Source organism: Homo sapiens, chromosome 11, assembly GCF_000001405.40.
Source record: "Homo sapiens chromosome 11, GRCh38.p14 Primary Assembly".
NCBI lineage: Eukaryota > Metazoa > Chordata > Mammalia > Primates > Hominidae > Homo > Homo sapiens.
This window is the reverse complement of record NC_000011.10, coordinates 5,760,853-5,785,107: the sequence shown is the minus strand read 5'-3', so window position 1 is coordinate 5,785,107 and position 24,255 is coordinate 5,760,853. Positions and strand designations below refer to the sequence as shown.

General features: G+C 33.7%; 2 protein-coding genes across 3 annotated transcripts; one reads left to right on the top strand and one right to left on the bottom strand.

Moving 5' to 3' along the window:
- Positions 1-1,752: 1,752 nt before the first annotated feature.
- OR52N5 (olfactory receptor family 52 subfamily N member 5) lies at positions 1,753-8,943 on the top strand. Of its 2 annotated transcripts, NM_001385662.1 has the most exons (3): positions 1,753-1,813; positions 3,352-3,575; positions 6,451-8,943. In NM_001385662.1, the coding sequence occupies exon 3, from the start codon at positions 6,474-6,476 to the stop codon at positions 7,446-7,448; it is 975 nt and encodes a 324-aa protein (NP_001372591.1). In that variant the 5' UTR covers positions 1,753-1,813; positions 3,352-3,575; positions 6,451-6,473; the 3' UTR covers positions 7,449-8,943. The 2 variants fall into 2 exon arrangements, with proteins under 2 accessions (NP_001372591.1, NP_001001922.2); NM_001001922.2 differs by lacking the exons at positions 1,753-1,813; positions 3,352-3,575 and having other exon boundaries at positions 6,441-7,474.
- A 7,084-nt stretch (positions 8,944-16,027) lies between these two features.
- Positions 16,028-23,955, bottom strand: OR56B2 (olfactory receptor family 56 subfamily B member 2). Its single transcript, NM_001396057.1, has 2 exons — positions 23,869-23,955; positions 16,028-20,008 (listed from the first exon to the last, which is right to left on the bottom strand). Coding segments are annotated over exons 1-2 (951 nt in total). The 5' UTR covers positions 23,870-23,955; the 3' UTR covers positions 16,028-19,058.
- Positions 23,956-24,255: the final 300 nt, after the last annotated feature.

Genomic DNA, 24,255 nt, shown 5'->3' with positions numbered 1-24,255 from the left:
TATTTCACTTAGTTTTCCAGGTTCATCCATGTTGTTATAAATGGTAGAATTTCTTTCTTTTGAAGGTTAAATAATATTCTATTATATATATATATATGATGTTTTCTTTATCCATTCACCTATTGACACACTTGCCAGGAGGAATACAGATAGTCCTCTGCTTTATTTTAGCTCATAACTGCATCTTTCTTTTAATTTTCTTGATAGTTATTTTCTTGAATGAATAATTAAAGAAAATGATTTGAATAAACTAGGTTACTGATAACTTGTTTGTTCATATTTAAAAAGTGGAGGCTGAGAAACTACAATGCTTATCAAAATTACTGAATTTTTTTTTTTTTTTTCTGGAGACGGAGCCTTGCTTGTCGCCCAGGCTAGAGTGCAATGGTGCAGTCTTGGCTCACTGCAACCTCTGCCTCCCAGGTTCAAGCAATTCTCCTGCCTCAGCCTTCCGAGTAGCTGGGATTACAGGTGCCTGCCACCACGCCCTGCTAATTTTGTATTTTTAGTAGATCTGAGGTTTCACCATGTTGGCCAGGCTGGTCCTGAATTCCTGACCTCAAGCCATCTGCCCGCCTCCGCCTCCCAAAGTGCTGGGGTTACAGGTGTGAGCCACCACAGCTGGCCCTGAAATTACTGAATGTTAAGTAGAAAATCTTCACGCTCAGAAAGGTAGTTTATCGGGAAGTTAAATCGTAATTTCAGCACACCAAGAAATCCAACGTAACAATGACCCTCAATTCTGACTATGGGTAAGGTTGGTCCCACTTACATCTACTTATGGCCTGTTCTATTTTACTTTCCATTATCTGGCACCTATAGCTGGGGGAGACCAGTTACTCATAGAGAACCTTACTGAATAAGGTGGCATATATACTTGGATTGTGTTCAAGAGCATACAGTAGAGTTTTGGTGCAATCTTTCTGGGGGGATAAAAGTCTAGCAACATAAAAGCTTTAAAATTAGCATATTTTTTACTCAATATCTATTCAGGTCTATAAATTTTCCAATGGAATTAATCATGATTGTGTTGATGTTCACCATCAAGTTGTAACATATTGGAAATTAACTCAATGTTTTAAATTTTAAAAATACGTAAAGGAAAGTTTATAGCCATAAAGTAGCTTTGCTGACTTTGACATATTGCAGAGGAGTGAAAGAGTGAAATATTCATGACATAATGGAAAAAACCGTGATAAAATATCCTCTAAACTATGAATATTCTGAAAACTGTGATTTTCAAAAAAAATTTACACATACCTGGAAATAAAAACACACAAAATCCTAATAGCAAGTGTTTCTGAGTATCTGAAGTATGTACTATTCAGAAGTGCCTTTATTGTTACTTTTTTCTTTTTCGACTAATAAGCATTTACTATTTTAGAATTAACAATAATAAATAACAACACACTTATGATATCACACTCATATACATCTTTTATTTATTTTTAATTGCCTTAGACACGAATTGCCAACTTCTAGTCCTAATGGTGGGATAGCTGTGGCATGGGATTTGCTTTCCTGACTGCTCTTTTTTGGAGCCCAGCTATAGTCACAGAAGTTTTTTCCCTCACATATAGGAATCTTTCCCTTAGGGCTCTGTGGTCTCTGGGGTCTCCGAAGCCCAGTTTCACACTGAGACTCTCGAGCATATGAGATTATGCCTGTTTCCTGTGGGAACTCGGCTGGACTAAGCACTTCTGATCCAAACTCTATAAGCTGAAGCCAGGGTCCTGCCATCACATGCATTCCTGGGCCCTCTCCCTGGCATGAACACCTTTCACATCACTTCTCCTCAGGAGCTATATTGTGGGTAAGAGATTTCTGCCTTCCAGACATTATTGTGTGACAAAGCCTTGTCTTGTTCTAGCCAGTTTGTGTCATCATAAGGATCAAAGACACTGACTTGCAGAAAATGTTGTTGGTGATTTCTTAGTCTGAGAAAATTAGGAAGAGTATGTTCATTCCACATTCAAAGCAGAGATAGTACTTGTAAGGGATATGTGTTCTTGGTGGACAAGGTACAGGTTAGATGCCCTCAAAATCTCCTTTAGAATTTAAGGAACTCCTCTCGTTATATTTATTCTTCTTCTTTTTTTTAATATGTGCTGTAATGCCAGGGTCAGAGAAGTGGACAGTAAGAACTTTACTGTCTCTTAAATCAGGAAAAAACAAATAGCTACAAACTTTTCCCTTCAAGTCACTAGCCCATCCTTTCCCAGTCCCTCCCTTTTCTTAAGTTGGGTCATACAACTTGGAGTCAGTCAATACAACTCCAATTTGTTGAGTATTCTTTTTTTAAGCTGGGTACTGTCCTTTTTCATGGGATAAAATAGGTGGCAGATTTGGCCCATAGACTAAAAGAGCTCACAGGTCAGTAAGGAGACAGGATAAATATAAATTGTTTGAGCACTGGTGCCCAAGTTATCATCATCATAAAAATGGAGAAAATGTGAAGGTAGCAAGGAGGAAGAAAGGTGAATTTCAAATAATAATTCTGGTTTGGTTTAAGAGAGATGGGGTTGTGCCTCACCAGTATTTAGTGTAGACAGCACAAAATTCTGTATCTTTGGCAAGCTATTGAACAAAGAGTCTTGATTAGATAGTGATTAGATACTATTTAATTAGCAGATGCATTATAAGAGTGTGATTAAATTCACCAGTTAATTCAAATATTAAGCAAATATATTAAACAGGTAAATATAGACAATCAAATAGTACTACTATTACTTTTTTTTGTCTAGTCGTGTGGATAAATATTGGAGTTGATATGCAAATCTGCTATTTATGTGCAAGGTAAACCTAAAAACACCAGAGTAGAGATGGAGAAAGTCCTTCTGCTAAGTGCCAAAGGATACATTGCCTGGCACAGATACAGTCGATAATATATATATATTTTTTAATTTTACAAATGAAATATGTTCAGTTTAATTTGGAGTCCATACACTTGAGACATTCAGATTCAATTACAGCATTTTGTGTCATTAAAAGGTTGATTTGACATTTCTGGGAAAACATTTTAGAGCAACAACAGAAAAGATAAAATAGCATAAGAGAATCTAGAAGTCTCTTTTCTGGATCCAGCTTTATCCTGACATTCCTCTCCAGAGAATCAAGGATAGGTCGTTCAGATGCCTGATAGGATTTTATTCTGTGTACTGGTTCCTGAATTCCTTGAAAAAATACTGTTCCAAGCCATCACTAGAGAAGTATAGCGTGGAAGTTAAAAGGAAGTGAAAAAGTAAGTCTCCTTGGCTTTCCTAACTTCTAAGCAGTTCCTGATTCATCCACATTTTCTGGAGGTTAGGATAAAGTGGTAATTCAAAGGAGCCTGTTTTCTGTTGTAAACAGCCAGAGGCAACCATGGATGCTACATGTATTTTGTGTCAAATGGCTGCCCAGCGTGGGATGAGGAGGCCGCACAGGATGCAACAGTGATAGGATCAATCACTCCACCCTTCACCAGATACTGGAGGCGTGGACATCTACATCAGGTAATGGAACTCATTGTCATCAAGGATGGACAAGCAATTGTGATTGACACAAGGTCGTAAGCTGCAGCATATCTTGATGTGGTATGTTTTGTTATTATTATACCTCAAATGCGTGCCTACATTCTGTTGCCTTTTTTAATTCCCCAGAACCACAAGCAAGAATAAAGAAGTCGGGTAGGCTCAGGGTGAGTCCGCATAGTATTTGTAACCAAATTACCTTCTCCTTTGAAAGAAAAAAATATAAATCATCCCACACAACTTTCTTACTATTTACCTTCACAATGACTGCAATGCTGGACAAGGAAGAAATTTTAAGAAGCAGGAGCATTAGAGGTCACATGCTAGAAACATGAAGCCTCATCTTGCTACAGGGAAAACAAAGAAATAGGAAAACAAATACAAAATCAAACAAATGAGAAAATAAATCACTGAACTACTACATGTTAGTCCACAACTTCTGCATTAATTCTGTTTATAAGGGATTTGCTTTAATGGAGCATATGTGAAAGTCTGATCTAAGGAAACCTATGTTTCATTCTGAGTTAATCACTAATAGCCTTGATTAAGCAAGTTAAACATCCTGTATCTAAATCAGGGTGTTTAACGGCAATAGCTCATTCTGGACTCTGGAAACCACAGTCTTCTTCAAAGAAAGTAACATCCTATCTCAGTGTTACTAAGATAAGCATCAGGCATTTAAGTCTTTAATCTATTTTAAGTTGATTTTTGTATGTGGTATGAGATAAGGGTCTAATTTTTTTCTTCTGAGTGTGGATATTCAGTTTTCCCAACACCATTTATTGAAGACACTGTCTTTCCTGATTGTGTGTTCTTGGCACCTTTGCTGAAAATTTTTTGGCTGTAGATATATGGGCTTTTTTCTGGGCTTTCTTTTCTGTTTCATCTTTCAGTCTTGGTATGTTACTGAGTCAAATAATCCATTTTTTCTACATTATTCAATTTATTGGTGTATAATTGTTCATAGTAGTCTCTTATGAACCTTTGTATGTCTGTTGTATCAGTTGTAATGTCTCCTTTTTCATTTTCATTTTATTTATTTGAGTTTTCTCTTTTTTCCCCCCTCAGTTAATCTAGCTAAATGTTTGTTAATTTTCATTTTGTGTTTTCAGGAAAGTTACTCTTATTTTTGTCAATCTTTTCTATTATTTTTCTAGTCTCTAATTTACTTCAGCTATAATATTCTTTACTTTGCAGAGATATTTGCAAATAAATGAAAGAAATTGAGAAAAGTCAACATAGACTTTAAGTATATGTATCTGGGGGGGATTAGCAAGTATTTAAACCCGAAATGCTAAACTACATTGACTATATAATGCATTGTTTAAGCCAGGATACTTATAAGTGGTTAGAAAATGGAAAGAAATAAAACAGGAAAGAAAAGATAAGACCTAAATTTCCTTTTATTAAATGTCATACCAAGGAATTTGAGCCCTGTTCTCAAAGTAATGGGAAGACATTGAAGATTATTAAGCAGTGGATTAAAACATCTTCAAAATTGTACTACAGGAAAAATTTCACTTATGAAATACTAAAGAGGCAATGCCAAGAAATAAATGGATGTGGCTAGGTGGTCTTTACGCTGAAAGTGGTGTTAGAAAGAAAGAGCTGATATAAGAAATTTTCTGATTTAAAAGTTTTTTTTCTGAAGATAGACTACAGAAAATAGATATGTTGATGTGACCTGGGTGGAGTAACAATTTGGACCCTTTGAGCTGTAAATGAATTATATCCAAGATGAGGTGGAGAAATACCAGGGAAGATCATAAATACACTAGTTTAGGTATTGTAGTAGATAATGACACCATTATCCAAAAGACAGAACTTAGAGGTAAAGTCTATTTTGGGCACAGGTAGAGATTAAAGCAATAAGTGTAGTCTTAGACATAATAAATGTAAAATTTTATGGATATTTCTGATGAAAATAGTCGTCATGCATTTAGAAGGACTCAACAGCTGTGGCATAACTTATTTATACAAGTAATTATCTGAAAATTATCTTCATGTTGGTTATACTTGAGGTCATAAGAGTAAAAACATTTCCCAAAAAGAGAATAAAGTGAGAGTCTAGATAATATGCTTCTTGAGAATTATATAAAAAGAGAAGATATGGAAAGAAAATAGATAATCTCAATGACATTGAAGGATTATAGGGTACTTGAGAAAAAGAGGTTTCTTTCTTCTTCCTTCTTGTAACCATCAAATCAGATTGACATTTATGGTCATTAGTCCTGTATTTTATATCCATTTTGAATCTATACCTGCATTTTGAATAATCAGCATATCTAATCCATCAGAATATTAACCTAAGAGTAAATAAATTTCTGATTATTTTTCAGAACTCTTTGAGGTAGGTATCACCTGCTTCCCATTTAAGATGAGCAACTGAGGCTTGGAGAGTGACATAAAGCTTATCAAGTCACACAGTTAGTATAGAAAAAACTGAAATATGAATAATGTGCTATTTGGTAGAAATAACCATAATCTTCCTATTGTGTATTGGCACACAACATTAATTTACTGAAGAAATTTTGGACCGTGCTTCACATGCTGTCATAGGATATGTCCTCTGTGAAGCCGGGATGCACAGTAAAAAGACTGCATGAATGTTGAAGTCATATATGAATACTGTTTCTGTTCCTGAATCTAGTTGTGTGACATTTAATATTATTCAATCTTTCTGCGCCCCAGTTTCTACTTTTATTTTGTGGTAAAAAAAATACAACTTTTTACTTATGGCTATGGAATTACATTTAGACTGTTTATGAAACTTTTAAAATGTTATCTGGAATACAGTATTATTCAATACATTGTATATTTTCATAGTCACTTATGTATAATTGTTGGTGCCATTATAAACTTAATTTTATTCTAAATTTGAATTTGTATTTGCAAGGAAAATTTGAATGAAATTTGTTTCATAATTCCTTCTCTTCAGGATGAAACTTCTGGAAAAATAGAATGCCTCTATTTAATTCATTATGCTGGTTTCCAACAATTCATGTGACTCCTCCATCTTTTATTCTTAATGGAATACCTGGTCTGGAAAGAGTACATGTATGGATCTCCCTCCCACTCTGCACAATGTACATCATCTTCCTTGTGGGGAATCTTGGTCTTGTGTACCTCATTTATTATGAGGAGTCCTTACATCATCCGATGTATTTTTTTTTTGGCCATGCTCTCTCCCTCATTGACCTCCTTACCTGCACCACCACTCTACCCAATGCACTCTGCATCTTCTGGTTCAGTCTCAAAGAAATTAACTTCAATGCTTGCTTGGCCCAGATGTTCTTTGTTCATGGGTTCACAGGTGTGGAGTCTGGGGTGCTCATGCTCATGGCTCTAGACCGCTATGTAGCCATTTGCTACCCTTTGCGTTATGCTACCACACTCACCAACCCTATCATTGCCAAGGCTGAGCTTGCCACCTTCCTGAGGGGTGTATTGCTGATGATTCCTTTCCCATTCTTGGTTAAGCGTTTGCCTTTCTGCCAAAGCAATATTATCTCCCATACGTACTGCGACCACATGTCTGTAGTAAAGCTATCTTGTGCCAGCATCAAGGTCAATGTAATCTATGGTCTAATGGTTGCTCTCCTGATTGGAGTGTTTGACATTTGTTGTATATCTTTGTCTTACACTTTGATCCTCAAGGCAGCGATCAGCCTCTCTTCATCAGATGCTCGGCAGAAGGCTTTCAGCACCTGCACTGCCCATATATCTGCCATCATCATCACCTATGTTCCAGCATTCTTCACTTTCTTTGCCCACCGTTTTGGGGGACACACAATTCCCCCTTCTCTTCACATCATTGTGGCTAATCTTTATCTTCTTCTTCCCCCAACTCTAAACCCTATTGTTTATGGAGTAAAGACAAAACAGATACGCAAGAGTGTCATAAAGTTCTTCCAGGGTGATAAGGGTGCAGGTTGATTCAAGGCAACTTAATTCAGATGGAAGAAAGATAAATGAAAAATAACAAAGAATAAACTTACGTGTGATATTTTACATTTATTCATGTGTAGTATCATACATTTTCTCTCTCAGTCTATGTTTTCTGAAACTGTTTTGGGGAAATTTATAGCCCATTCTGGATGTATATCTCAGTGCCTTTCCCTTAATTTTTGTCTATTGCCAGTTTTTAAAAAATGAGTTTAACTCAATTTATTTAAATTGACACATAAAGTTAAATATGTCATATATAACATAATGTTTTAAATATATATAAACCTTACAGAATGGCTAAAACTAGTTCAATTCATAGAAGTAAAAAGTAGAATGGTGTTTTTTTAAAAATCACGTGTTATTTTTCTAAATTTTTTAAATTGATACATAATAGTTTTACACATTTGGGAGGTGCAAATGATATTTTGATACATGCATAAAATGTGTAATAATTCAATCAAGGTAATTAGAATATCCATCACCTCAAACATTTATCTTTTCTTTTTATTGGAAACATTCAAATTCTCTTTGAGCCATGTTGAAACACGTAATAAATTATTGTTAACTACAGTTATCCACTGTACTATTGAACACTATGTCTTATTCTTTTTAACTGTATTTTAGTACCTATTAATTAACCTCTTTTCATCCTCTCTTCCTCCCACCATTCCCAGCATCTGGTAACCACCAGTCTACTCTCTATCTCCTTGAGATCCACCTTTTTAGCTCCCACATATAAATGAGAACAACAATATATATCCAAAAAAAGAAAAACAATATGTTGAAGAGATACCAGATACCTGCACTCCCATGTTTGTTGCAACATTGTTCACAATAGCCAAGACATGAAATCAACCTGTGTCCATCAACAGAGAAGTGGATAAAGAAAATGTGGCATCATAAAAAATGATGAAATTCTGTAATTTGCAGCATCATGGATGAAGCTGGAAATTAGCATGTTAAATGAAATAAGCCAGCCACAGAAAGACAAAAGTTACATTGCCCGTTTTAATCAAGTCGTTGGTATGAATTCACACAACTTTTATCTAATATATTCATCTTGGATATATTCTTAAACTTTGAAAGAGTCCTTAAGTGTCTTGTCTATGTTGATAATCTTTCCTATAGAACATTTTCCAGCCCAGTCAGTCTTTGAAGCTAAAATTAGGTTTATGAATTAATTTTGAGAAATATTTTTATGTATATATTAGAATGGACAGACAAGTCTTATTTACCTCAAGGCTTGCGTACACCAGAAGTCAGTGCAGGAGCTAGTTGGTATATGGTATGGCTTTCCCAGTTAAATGTCAACCAATTGGTGAAATGATTGATTAAATCATTGATTCACTGATTCATTCATTCATGCTTCATTTGTTAGTTATTTCATTTCCCATATTTCTGAATATTTTTATCAACTCAGCTAAATCTTAAAATAGAACTTATCATTACCTCTTCCTGGTTGTCACACACACTATATTATCACAACACTCTTATAATAAGTTTATTTGTTTACACATCTGTTCATTGTATACTACAACATGTTGTATTTGAAAGCACTAGGTATGTATTTGTCTTTGTATTTCAGGCTCTGACAAAATGCAACTCAAAGGTATAAATAAAACAAATATTCATTAAATGACTAGATGAATGAGTCTACATTAGTTAGGCCTTATGTTAGATATTAACCATTAGAAAAATATAAACATTCTCCTTGTTACAAAGAAGCCCACAGTCTAGCTAAGGGGTGAAATATTAATAAAAATGTGTTGAATTCAGTGCTATGCTAATCATCTTAACGGAAAGCAGGGTGATAGAGTCAAATAGTCTATTCAAACTAAAAAAGAAAAGGAGTGATCATGTTAACTGGAACATTTTAGTAGGAGATGAATAAAAGAGTAAATGAAAATTTAATCTCTCAAGTAAACATATACATTCAATTAAACTATAGTTTAGAGGAGCTTTATAAGAGAGTTTGCACAAGTGCTGAAACAGCACAGAAAATGATCCTCTAACCTTGAGAGAGTAAGAGAGTCACAGAGAGATGGTATTTAAACCAGAATATAAATCATGAAAAAAAAACCCTATTTACTAGGGAGACAAAGAGTTCTGTTTTTTTCTTCACCAAGGCTATTTCTTGCCTGGTGGTATAATTCCTTCCAGCTAAATGTATTCCATTTATAAAAACCTTTATAATGAAATATTTATGTACCTATTATCTTAAAAATTTTGTAAATCAGCAAATATAACAGAAGAGGTATTAAAAGCAGGTACATATTTGCTCATGGTTGAATAAAAGATTATGCTGGGCTGGGCACAGTGGCTCATGCCTGTAATCCCAGCACTTTGGGAGGGCGAGGCAGGTGGATCACCTGAGGTCAGGAGTTCGAGACCAGCCTGACCAACATGATGAAACCCCGTCTCTACTAAAAATACAAAAACTTAGCTGGGCATGGTGGTGGGCGCCTGCAATCCCAGTTACTTGGGAGGCTTAAGCAGGAGAATTGCTTGAATCCAGGAAGTGGAGGTTGCAGTGAGCCAAGATTGTGACACCACACTCCAGCCTAGGCAACAAGAGTGAAACTCCTTCTCAAAAAAAAAAAAAAAAGAAAAAGAATTATGCTGATAATATACAGGTAAAAATAGCATTCATGGATTTATTGAAAATGGCCTTTAGTAAATGTCATATTGTAAAACGGTCTGCAGGCCAATTTACTCAGGGAATAAGGAATACATATAATATACATGTTAGGCCTCAAAAATAATAAATGCAGAATATGACTCAAAACACATACTGTTTTTAAATATTGATTTATTTTTGATCAGTCATTTACTAATTTTATGACATTTTCTCTATTGAATAAAATAGCCTATTAAGAATATTCATACCTTAATACATAAAGCTCACAACTACCGGATGTGTAAAAAAGTCTTGAATATACTTTCTCCACTATAATCTCTAAGTTGTATATCTCTTTCCTGGCTCACTGCTCATTAGTGATTTATCACCTGTTCCCTCCACTTTTACCTCTGGAATATCTAATGCAACAGTTGTTGAGGTGTTATCCATGGATTGTTGAGGGCTTCATGTTCATTTGTGTAGACATATGAAGTCACAACAATTTTCATAGTAATACTAAGGCATTATTTGCCTTTTTCAGTTTCATTCTCTTACTAATATATAAAAAATACACCAATATATTTACACGATTTATGTAACCACTTTCCTATTCTTAGACATCTGTGGATTTTTATTTTACAAGAAGTGATGCAACAAATATATATGTAGAGAACATTTTAAATACAACTTTTTCTTTTTTGTGATAGAAGCTACATAACATAAAATTAACCTTTCTAACCATTTTAAAAATATACAGTTGACACTTAGGTTGCTTCCAAATCTTAGCTGTTGTAAACGGTGCTGCAACAAACATAAGAGTGCAGATATCCCTTCAATATATACTGATTTCCTTTCTTTTGATCATCAATAGATGAATGGATAAATAAAATAAAATGTGTTACATATGCACAGTGGGATACTATTCTACCATAAAAAAAAAGTGATACTGTCATTTGCAACAACATAGATGGAACTGGAGATCATTATGTTAAGTGATGTAAGCCCGGCACAGAAAGACAAACATCTCATATTCTTACTTATTAGTGGGATCTAAAATCAAAGCAATTGAACTCATGGACACAGTAGAAGGACGGTTACCAGAGGCTGGCAAGTGTAGTGAAGGTCTGGGCATGGGAGGTGGAGACAGTACAAAAAATAGTTAGAAAGAATGAATTAAAAAATAGAAAGAATGGGTACAAAAATAGAAAGAATGAATAAAAGTTACTATTTGATAGCACAACACAGTGACTATTATCAATAATAATTGTACATTTTTTAATAACTTAAATAGTGAATTGGATTGTCACTCAAAGGATAAATACTTGAAGGAATGGATACCCCATTCTCCATGATGTGCTTATCTCACACTGCATGTCTAGAGCAAAACATCTCATTTATCAAATAATAAATACCTACTATGCATCCACAAAATTTAAAAATAATAAAATTAAGTGTACAATTGAGTGGCTTTAAATATGGTTACAATGCTGTGCAACCATCACCTGTATGTAAGCCCAGAATACTTTCATCATCTCAAAAGGAAACTCCGTAACCATTAGTCAGTCTGTCCTTATCATCCTGTCCCCCTTGGCTCTGACAGCAATTCATTTGCTTTCTGTTTCTATGGACTATTGTAGGTATTCATATAAATGGAATCACACAAGAGATGGGCAACTGAGTCTAACTTTTTCACTTAATATGTTTTCAATAGTTATATATGTTGCAACATGTACCATACTTCACTTCTTCTGGTGACAGAATAATAATTCCATAATAATTCCTTTTATGGGTATACTTTATTTTGCTTATCCTTTCAGCAATCGATGGATATATACGTCATTTCTACTTTTTGATTAATAATGTTGTAAAAAATATTCCTGGAAAAATCCTAGGGAAAACAAAGGATAACCCCAAAAGGTAAAATAAATAAATAAGTAAATAAGGTGGCAAACCAAACAAATATTTTGGTTTGGGAGGTAAAGGTTAATTATTTAATCTCTACCACAAGTTGATCCTATTTCACAGGGCTAGGATATATATATATATATAAAATATATATATATAAAATATATTTATATACACACACATATACATACATACACATACATACATACATATGCAATAAAAAAGTACAAAGGCAAAACTATATACAATATATGCACAAAGAGTTTCATAGAAATAGAAACTAAACATACTAAAAACCTTCCCCAAAATTTTTTGAGGAAATATTAAAGTCAAAGTAGAAACCAAAGAAAGTAAGTACTGGGTAGAGACAACTTTCGATAAACAATAGATGAAATGCATGACACCATGCAATTAAAGCTGATTGCAGCACTGTTCAGAATAGCCAAGATTTGGAAGCAACCTGTGTCCATCAACAGATGAATGGATAAAGAAAATTTGGTACATATACACGGTGGAGTACTATTCAGCCACAGTAAAGAATGAGATCCTGTCATTTGCAACAACAGGGATGGAACTGGAGATTATTATGTGAAGTAAAATACCATAATAATTATGTTCAGGCAAGAAAGACAAACATCACATGTTCTCACTTATTTGTGGTATCTAAAAACCAAAACAATTGAACTCATGATCATAGAGAATAGAAGGATAATTACTAGAGGCCGGGAAGGGTAGTGGGTTGGGGTGGGAGCTGGCGGGGAAGGTGGTGATGGTTAATGAGTACAAAAAAAAAAGTTATAAAGAATGAATAAGACCTAGTATTTGATAGCACAACAGGGTGACTATAGTCAATAATAACTTAATTGTACATTTAAGAATGAGTAGTATAATTAGATTGTTTGTAACACCAAAGATAAATGCTTGTAGGAATGGATAACCCATCCTCCATGATGTGATTATTATGCATTGCATGCCTGTATAAAAACATCTCATATACCCCATAAATATATACATGTAATATGTACCCACAAAAAATTGAAAATTAAAAAAAAATCAAACTGATTGAACCAAATTGTTTCATTTTCCTGTCTGACACAGTTTCCCTCAAGCAAAATAATGGAAAACACTGAAGTTATTTTTCTCACATTATTAGTACACAATGAAAATTTTAAAATGGGGAATCCACTTACATTAACACAACTTCTTGGCTGATCTTCAATTTTCGACTTAGCAACACTGGTATGGATTTACACAAATAATTTCAAGGCTAAGAAAAGCTTTGTAATTAGTATTCTGGTTATAAGAAAAATATGTGCTTACAAAATGAGAAAGTGTTTCCTTGTATAACAAAATTATCAATTTTCTTTCTGTGAAGCTTGTAAATTTGTTCTTCATGTTTGTGTATTCTATTTTTCAAATTTCCTTTACAATTTATTATTAAAGAAACTAAATTAATAATTTATACACATACATACATAATTGTATAGATTACTGTGAAAATAAGCTAGATTTTCTAATGTAGTTTGATAAATATTTGACTAATATATGCCAAGTTCTCATAAATATTTGAAAAATATTGAATTATTGCTTGCTTTTCCTGATCGATTCATTTAAGCAGTCAACTCTTAACTCTATATGTCTGTAACAGAAGCAAGTAGAGAAATTAGAGAACGTAAAGATACCTCTAGGTTGAAAATAAAAAATATATCTTTAGGATGAGTTATGCTGTCTTTATCTCACATTGCATATTTATCTTATGTTACATATATAATATCTCACATTATATATTTAATATATATTACATTATATCTCATATATTTAATATACCTTATATTAATATATATTAAAACTGTAACTATAAAAGGGAAACACATAAATATCCTATTTATGTCTCTTGTGTTTCCTTTTTATATAGTTTTAATTACTAAAACTGGCTTTATTGTTACATGAGAAGTTTAGTTCTCATCTCAATTACATTTATAAGCATCTCAGTTAAAGATCTTGCTGATACAAAATAATATAGCACTAAGCACAAGTTATATAATACTTTCTCCAAAACAAATTAAAAACGCTTTTTTTAAAGTTAGCAAAAATTTATTTTACTTTGTTAATTCTCTCTTCTTTTAATACAGCAGCTACATTTTAATTTTATCTTACATGCCGCTTTCTGTATTTCTCTAATTTGTGCTTCCCGAGAGTCAAAGGGAAAGAGATTTCGATTGAGAAAGATGTCTGTTTGAACTGTACTATAAATTGCCTCTGAGAATGATATTTATACTTGCTGGAAACTCAGCTGGGCAATGTGACTGCTGTGGCAATGTAAATTTACACAAATCTATCTAATTGCTGGTGATGAAAGAAAGATAATTCAGCTTTATATTTTATGAAAAAGGGAAATTATAATACCTTCTAGTCCCCAATACGCTGAGTTCCCGATTATCAGGATTTGAAGCTGAGGGCCACAACTTTTTTTAAAAAGTGATGAGTCTCATCAAGAAATATAAGCTTATAAAATGCTTTTAATACTATATTACTTTATAATTCTGCAAGAATAATAGATTTGTATTATGCTGTGAGTGAGTAGGTCTATTAAGTGATAACATTAAAAACAAATACCACCATTTATAAAGTATGATTTTGATATCATCGGTTGTGCATTTTCACCCCAAACTCTGTAAATAGTAACTTTGTTTCCTCACTTGACCATGCTCAGTCTTTACAGACCATGCTCTTTTCTCAAAATGACTGTAGGTTCATCCAAGTATGTTTGCTGTCCAAAATCAATGAAACACAGTCACAACTATGTCTGTCTAGGAATAAAGCCAGTTAATTAGATTCTTATTCTAAGGAACAAGAGGAGGGCAGGTAAGAACTTGATTATGGAAGAATTCTGACCATAATCAAGAACTGTTTTCTATTTTTTCTCCATGTTGTCGGGTGGTTCATACCTGACTTTCATCATTTCCAATGATTCCTGTTTGCTTTGTTTATAAATATTCAAAATCATCATAAAAATTTCGCTGAATGAAAACCTGAAAATTGGGGAAATAAACATTCTGCAAAACAAATGTCTGCAACACTTCTACCTTCAAACTAAGTGGATGAAATCAAGTCTGAATTTCTGAGAATAATAATAGTATACACTCAAAGATTCTGTACACTTTGGCAAAACATCTCTCCAATTTATCTACTATGAACTACAACAAGAAAAATCCTGTCACTACCCCTGTCTCCTTTTTATGTCCTTTAATACCTAATTTCCAGATGCCAATAGAATGAGCTGAATGCAGTTTGGCCCAGATGTTCAGAATCTTGGTCAAAGAACACATGAGAATCCTACAATATATGTACATGTACTCCCCCCAACATTAAAATCCCTTGATACCTTTACTACTGATATGAGCCTTTAAAGAAAATTATGTGTTATATGTCCCAAGGGGATATTTCATATAATTAGGGTCACAGTGTTGGAATTAAGACAACGCTCACAGGAGATGAAAGGGTGGAAACACTCCATGCTCATCACCTATATGATGCCTCATAAGTAACTAGTGAATACTTTCCTATGAATGTATCTGTACATGTGCTTATGTGTGGCCATGTATATGTGGGGGGAAGCGAGAAAGAACACAGGATGTTTTTATTTTAAAAATTATGTTATTAATAAGATTGCAGAGTTGTTTCTTTTTGCTTAAGGCCTTGTGGCATACAAATTGGAAGCAAGCACAGAATGTGTTAATTGCTCACACAGACAACTTTGCATCTTCCTTTTTTTATGTTTTCATGTATTAAGTAACATCATTGAGTGCTTCATACTCTCAGAGTTAGTCTAGGAACTTTGAAAAAAGCATCAGAAAACATGGGCCTTGGTTTTCAAGCAATTTATTTCCAAGGAAGATTGGTGATGAATATTATGGAATTGTAAAAATTAATCAAAAGTTCAGACTTATTACATATAAATATTAAACTAGCAATAAATAGATGCCTTAATTTTGAGATAATAATAGTGATGCAAATAAACGCAATAATAAAAGACAATAATTAATCTAATTTTATGTATTTTTATTTAGAAGAAAAATGTTTGTTTTTATTAAGTGTAAAAATAAAAATGAGGACATCACAGAGATAATTAGAACCTAATTCTATAATGTAGAGGTAACTTCTGATACTTTTTCTTTTATATACAATTTCTATATATACTTTTGACAAACGTTTGGATAACATCAAATTTTAAACAAAAATTCTATCATTTTCAGTTAATGTTTATATTAAGCACATTCAAAAAAGGATTGTTCAGTATTATGATTAAATAAAGGCACATTATGTGTTTTACACACTTCCTTAAGTATTTTCCTGTTCTCAGACATCTATGTTCTTTTAATTTACAGAAAGTTATATAACAAATATACATGTAGAGAATAATTTTTGCAGTTTTTTATATTGTTTTATATTGAATGTAAATTAGTACGACCTCTATGGAAAACAGTACGGAAATATTCAAGAAACTAAAACTAGAACTACCATTCCATCCAGCAATGCCAATCCTAGGTATCTACCCAAAAGAAGATAATTGCATTTAAAATAATTACACTTAAAAATATTGGCACTAGTATGTTTATCACAGGGAAAGATACGGAATCAACCTGTGTCCATCAACAGATGACTGGATAAAAAAAATGTGGTATGATATACAATGGAATACTCCTCAGTCAAGAAAACAAATGAAATAATGTTTTTTGCAGCAACGTGCATAGATTATGAGGCCATTATTTTAAGTGAAATATCTCAGAAACAGAAAAGCAAATACCACATGTTCTCACTTTTAAGTGGGAACTACCTAATGTGTACACATAGGCATAGAGTGTGAAATAGATAAATATTGGAGATTTGGGGGATGGGCAGATGGAAGGGGAATGAGGAATGAGAAATTCCTTAGTAGGTACAATATACACTATGCTGGTGGTACCCACTATGGTGGGTACACTACAAGCCCAGACTTCACCACAGCCAGGCTATACATGGATATACATCCATGTATCAAAAAGCAGTTGTACCCCTTAATTTTATATAAAATGAAAAAAGAAAACGTACAATTGGGTGACTTTCACTACATTCATTATGCTGTGCAACCATTGCCACTATCTAATTTCACAATATTTCCATTACCTCAAAAGGAAACTTCATAACTATTAGTTAGTCTCTCATTATTGCCTGGAGTCTCCATTCCCTACTAACAACTAATTTGCTTTTTTTTTCTATAGACTTAACCTATTCTGGATATTCATACAAATGGAATCAGATACTAGGTGGCCTTTTGTGTTTGGCTTTCTTCACTAACCTAAGCATAATGTTTTCAAAGTTCATGTATGCTGCAGATTGTACGAGTACTTCATTTACTTTTGTTTGTTTGTTGTTGGGAGAATTTATTCTTTTTATATTTTTCCTCTTTACTATACAAAATTTTCCATGTCATTTTGTTAAATTTAGCAATTTTTAATTCAATCAAGTTGAATTTTTGTAAGATAAGTTTTATTCTATATATATTTGAGATTTACAGCATGAAATTATGGGATAGAGACAGCAAAATAATTATTATAGTGAAGCTGATTAGTATATCTATCATCTCATATAGGTACTTTTTATTAAATAATAATTCCTAGTATAGATACACTTAATTTTGTTTATCCATTCAGTAGCTGCTATGGTGTGGATAGGGTTTGCTTGTCTCCACCAAAAATCAGGTTGAAATTTGATCCCCACTGTAGTGGTATTGGGAAGTGGGGCCCAGTAAGAGATGTTTGGGTCCTGGGGATGGATTCCTCATGAATGACTTGGTGCTATTCTTGTGGCAGTTACTGAGTTTTCTCTGTTACATAACTGGATCAGTTCTCTGGGAGATGGATTTGTCATGACAGTGAGTTGTTATAAAGCTGGGAAGCCCGTTGGGTTTTGTCTCTTTGCACATGTCTGTTTTCCCTTTGACCTTGTCTGCCATGTTATGAGGCAACACCAAAGTCCTCAGATGAAGCCAGGGACATGTCCTTGAAGTACCCTGCCTGCAGAACTATGAGCTAAATAAACCTATATTTCTAACTCAGTATTAGGTATTCTGTTGTAACAACACAAAACAGAACAAGACACAGCTTATAGATATACAGGTTGTTTCTACTTTTTGGCTAATAATGCTACTGTAAACATTTGTGTACAGGTTTTTGTATTAACATTTTTTTCAATTATGTTGGGTGTATTATTAAAAGTTGGGTCCTGGGTCATATGTTAATGGCACTGAAGTTTCTTAGTAATTGCCAAACTCTTCCACAGCCACTGTGCCATTTTTACTTCCCAACAATGTATTGAGATTTCAGTGTATCCATATACTTGCAAACACTAATCTCTTATTGCAAAAAAATAAATTTGCAGTACATTTATATGTATAATATGGGGGTAAAGGGGTGTGTTATTGTGGTGTTGTATAATATAGGGGGTAAAGGGGTGTGTTATTGTGGTTTTGATTGAATTTGCCTAATGATTAATGACTAGTTATGTTGAGCATCTTTTCATGTATTTTTTGGACATTTGCATATAATCTTAGAGAAATGTCTATTCAAGTCCTTTGCAAATTAAAAATATAAGACACATAATAAAGCAAATCATGAAAATGCAGAAGTATCTCCTATTTTATCAATTATTACATCAAATGTAAAATATTAAGCTCTTCAATTAAAAGGAATAGATTGACACAATATCTGCTCTAACTACTTCTATTCAACACTGTCTGGAAGTTTTAGCTAAGACAAGTGGGTAAGAACATGAAATGTAGATTACATTAGTCTTTTCTTTGAATTCCTTGAGACAAATAGCATCACTGTTACCCTTTGTGATGAAGATTTTTGCTTGACTCCCAAATATTTCAAATATTACTTCTATCTCCTTTGTTCTAAAGTGTCAGTTGTTGCCACCAATTCATTATGCTATTTCTTTGTTGTTCTGCCATTTGCAGCAGTTGGAGAATATGATATAAAAACATGTGAAGAAAATTTTCAAAAAATGAATATCTTTTCCATATCAGGTGCCCTTCACTCCAGTCTAAGTACCTTGTATAAGCCTTGCCTGAGTTCCTTGTTCTTGAGTGCATATACCATGGGGTTCAGGGCAGGGGGAATGACATTGTGTAGCACATTAAGTAGAACTGGAATAAGGGGAACTCTCATTCCTGTACTACGAGTAATGGAAATCACAATGATGACTGTGTAGAAGAAAAGGATTAAGATGAGGTGGGAGGTGCAGGTACTTAAGGCCTTGGATGCAGCTTCTGGAGAGTTCAGCTTCAGGACAGAGTAAAGTATTAGAGCATATGATAAAATAATCAAACCCAGGTCACTTCCCATGAGTGTCCAAGCCAAAAGGACCTGGTTAATGCTATTGATTCTTCGATCATCACAAGATAGGCTAGTGACTCCAAGGTTAGAACAAAGACAGTGCTCAATTTGATTCTGGGAGCAGTAATGCCTCTGGGCAGCCAACAGAGGCACTGAGATGAGACACAGGCTGTTTCTCAGTGCCATGAACCCGTTTGCTTTGAAAACAAAAGATTCAGTGATGATTGATGGATATCGTAGCGGTCGACAAATGGCTACATATCTATCAATAGCCATGCAGACAAAGGTACTTGATTCCATGGCCACAAAGCAATGTATGGCATACATCTGAGCAAAGCACTCCAGGAGACTGATGGTCTTAGCATTGAACCATAAGATGGCCAAAATCTTAGGCATGATGGTGGTAGCCAGGCCTATGTCTGCCATAGCCAAGATGCCCAGGAAATAGTACATAGGCTGGTGCAGTGCTGCCTCTTTGTTGATGATGATCAGGATAAGGATGTTGGCACTGAGAGCTAAGAGGTAGAGCAGAGCCAGGGGCAGGGAGAGCCAGTGCTGCCAACTGTGAATGCCAGGGAATCCCATCAGGATAAACTCAGAGACCTGGAACTTAGAGCTGTTGGAATCTCTGAGCTCCTGGAGCACCACTAAGGGGAAAAATATTTGATATTAGTATTTCTAATAATCTCTATGGAAGTATTGAGAAAATAATTACCTAGCATCATGATATTGAGGTGTGACTCAGCCTCGTTAATCTCATGTTGTCACTTACATCTATTGGACATGTATTATCCTATGTGATATTAGGTACATTCTCTGTGATAACTCAGTTAATCATCTGTAATACTCTATAAGGTAGGTCATATTTTTTCCATTTTCTCATATCTAAGGTATACGACATTATAAAATCAGGACCTTGTTTAAGAGCTTCCTTACAGTAAGTCACAGGAGCAGGACAAGTTGAAAGTGATCTGGTATTGCAGCCCGGTTTCCTAAGTTTGTCTTTGTTAACGAGTTGGTTTCTTTAGAGACCTAATGTATAAACTCAGAGTAGTGGTTTTTTATGCATGGAGGCCTTTTAGGTAAGATATTTGATGATAGAGTATATAGAAGTGAACTATTTTTTGTTCACGTACTTAAACATTTATGAAGTATTGATGTATATTATTTACTTTTTATTAAAATGTATGAGCTAAGTTAGTATACCCATTTTATAGTCATGTAATTGATGTGTAAGCATTCTAATAACGTGTATAAATTCATGCAAATATGAAAGAGTTTAATGTGGTTTGGAAATACCAGTGTTCTGTAAATTCAGTTGGTTGTAGTTTTGTGTTACTTATTTCTACTTGCGTATATTTTTGGTTTTTGGAGTATTCTAATGGCCATATGGCCATGATGACTGGCGTAGAAGTTAAAAACATGCACGCACATGCACACACAAACATAGACATGCACGCAAATCAGTGATTTTGAGAGCAATGCTTTGGCATAAGGCCTCCTAATATCTAATCTCTCTGTATCTGACACCTCCTTTCTATATTCTTTTGTTAATATTTGAATTAAAATATTCAGAACAAATTTTCATGAAATGTTTTACTTGTGCTACTCTGCACTATTTATTTCTTCTTTCCTTTTAAGTATTTAAAATATTAAGGATACAATATAAAGGCAAAAAATTATTTTTAAAATTTGTGCGCTAAAATTATAGAGTCTACAGAGGAGGCAATGTTATGTTGACTTGGTCGATATATTCACTTTAGGTAATAACATCTTATACTACTTGTAACAAAATAAGGTTAATTGATGAAATTGTTTCTACAAATTTTAATGCTTAATTAAAATGTGGCTTGGGGAATACTGTATTGTGTCTAACTGCCCAAAGAAGGAAAAATATATATCAGTGTGTAGGTCATTGAGTTGATATACGTATCTCCCATAGAAACCTAAAGGCGTGGGATATTTGTTATTTATGTCACTGTTTTTCCCCAAGAGACAGACACTTAATAAGCACTCAATTTATATTATGTGAATGAATACTGAAGCAGAAATAAGCAGTTTTATGTCCATGAGTCTTGTATTGTTTATGAGGAGGTTAGGGCTATTGACATATAAGCACGTTAAAAATATAGTGGAGGCCAGGTGCAGTGGCTCACGCCTGTAATCCCAGCACTTTGGGAGGCCAGGCAGGCGGATCAGGAGGTCAAGAGATTGAGACCATCCTGGCCAACATGGTGAAACTCCGTCCCTACTGAAAATACAAAAATTAGCCGGGCATGGTGGCGTGTGCCTGTAGCCCCAGTTACTCAGGAGGCTGAGGTAGGAGAATTGCTTAAACCCAGGAGGCGGAGGTTGCGGTGAGCTGAGATGGTACCACTGCACTCCAGCCTGGGCAACAAGAGTGAAACTCCGTCTCAAAAATAAATTAATAAATAAATATAATGTAATGGAAGGAGACAGGGATTGAAAGGAGAATCATGTTGAAACAATCAAGGGGTAGAAGAGTATAGCGGATATCTCATCAAGACAAGATGAAAACTAAAAATAAAATTATACATATTATAAAACATGAAAGAGGTAATTCATATGCATCTGTAAACATACTGATTCTTATAGATTATAATTGCTAATTAAAAAAGAGACTCAGGTTACATTTTTTAAAACTGTACTATTTTTGAAAGAAACTTTAATACAAAATTTGAAAGCAGAATAAATCGGGTATTCTTAGATAAGAAAACCAATGTAACAATGTCATATATAAAATTAGTAATTCAGTTAAAATAATAATTGTGAAATGATAATAACATTATAATAAACATTAACAGGATAATATAGTATTTGTGACTAGCCTGATCCCAAACACATAACCTAAACTTGAAATTCTAGTAGAAAATGACAAAGTATGGTTATGGTAAAGTATATTTAAATATATTTCTTTAAATAAATACGTAAACAAAAACTGGCAGTGATATAGATTTTTTCTTGAATTATTTGTTTTTGTCTTTTTTTATTAATACATAAATGTACAGATGTTCAGTGTACATGTGATACTTTGATGCTAGGAACATTTAAATTATTCTCTTCCAGCTATTTTGAAATGTACAATAGATTATTGTTAACTTTAGTCAGTCTACTGATCTATCAGATACTAGGTTTTATTCATTCTATATAACTGTATATTTGTACCAAAGGAGTTAAATGTAAATCTCTTGCAAAAAATAAGAGATTACCGATCATAAATACATAAAGAAGATGCATGAATATCAGTGATGCTTTGGGTAATGAGTGAGAAGTAACAAAGAATATCATAAATTTCATAAAACAACATGCAAAATTATCGAAAGCCATAAAAAACAAATGACATTCATATATTTAGAAAAATTTAGCAAGGGCATTAAACGATAAATGAATCAAATATAAAATAGTATTGGACATGGCCTCCAGAGAAAAATTGTTTAAATTGCTAGAGAGTATAGTAAATCAATTATTTTTCTTCAATGAAGTAAGGGTCCACTGTTCAATAGATTAGTAAAGAAAAAAAATACATGTGGCATCTATCTTAGAAAATACAATGATCTAGCTTGAAATACCAGGAAAATTTAAGATAAATCTTTTATAATGAAAAACTGCTTGGAAGAAAACTGTACAATTTATTCTTACAATGGATTATATTTATATATTGATGATTGCTAAACATTAATATTACTTCTTGGCAGGTGTATGTGAGACTCTGTCTTTCCAATTCTAGTATTTCCAATTGAAAGACACACATGTAAATATATTATTCTCACAGTTCAGCAAAAATTCTAATACTTTGGGTGAAAATGAAATTCTGTGTGGCCCTATGAACTTCAACAAAAGTCTTAGCCTCTAGGATTCTTGATTCTATTCTATGAAATATAATAATTCATTTCTAGATTCTGGAGTGTGTTAACAATTCTATTAAAATGCCTAATTAAAATTCTTGCAAGATGGGATAATTAATATTTATGTGGTAAATTTAAATGAGGGCCTTTGATGCCTAATACCATGAAACTGGTACCAGGTATTATGTGTCAGCAAGCTAAGAAAGACATGTGCAGGAATATGCATAAAAACTCAACGGAGCTGGAGAGTTACAGTGTCTAATACAAAAGCTAAATATTGAGCTTGAAAAAATTTTGTGAAGAATTACAAAGCTCCAAAGTATCTAATAAAATAAAATATGCCAAAACAATAAATAAACAAGAAATATCATTCTAAAAATGCTGGTGGTAATATACTTTTATTTTTACATATTAAGACATAGTGGTTATGAAATATCTAACATTTTGTTGTATTAGGTTCCATAAAGTTTTCCAATATTCAGATTAATTTGACATGAAGTGTATTTCATGGTTTCTACACAGTCATTAAAGAAGCATTATGTAGATGCCTCCATCATAGCTGAGGCTTACCCTTCTATATGGCATTCCCAAATCTCCGCGAAGATTAAAAAGACTGACTCTGGCCCCAGCTATGTACTTACTGTGGTGTCCTGTGAAAGACTTGTCATATGTAGTGATCTTCAGTATACCCAGAGCTGGTTTACAGCCACTGAAGATGGACTAGGATATTATGACCAGTGCAGAGAAACTCAGGGACCTGCTTAAGTGGAGGAAAAGTCTATTCCCTAGGGTTGTAAAACCCAATTAGCCTGAAGCAAGTCAAATCTAGGGCGTGGATGTAATTAGGAACAAGTCACATCATTTTGCTAAAAATCTTAATTTGGGTATGGTAGAGCTAGCTTTTATTAAATATAGGCATAAAAGTGTTAAATATCTAAATTTTATGATAATTTTCTCTTTGAGGAAGGCTTTGGGAAAGTTGTTTTTTTTTTTTTTAAGGAAAAGCACAATACAAAACCTCTTCCTAC

What these genes read in the sequence shown, in the direction of transcription:
- OR52N5 (NM_001385662.1), top strand. Translation starts at nt 6,474, where the DNA reads ATGCCTCTATTTAATTCATTATGCTGGTTTCCAACAATTCATGTGACT.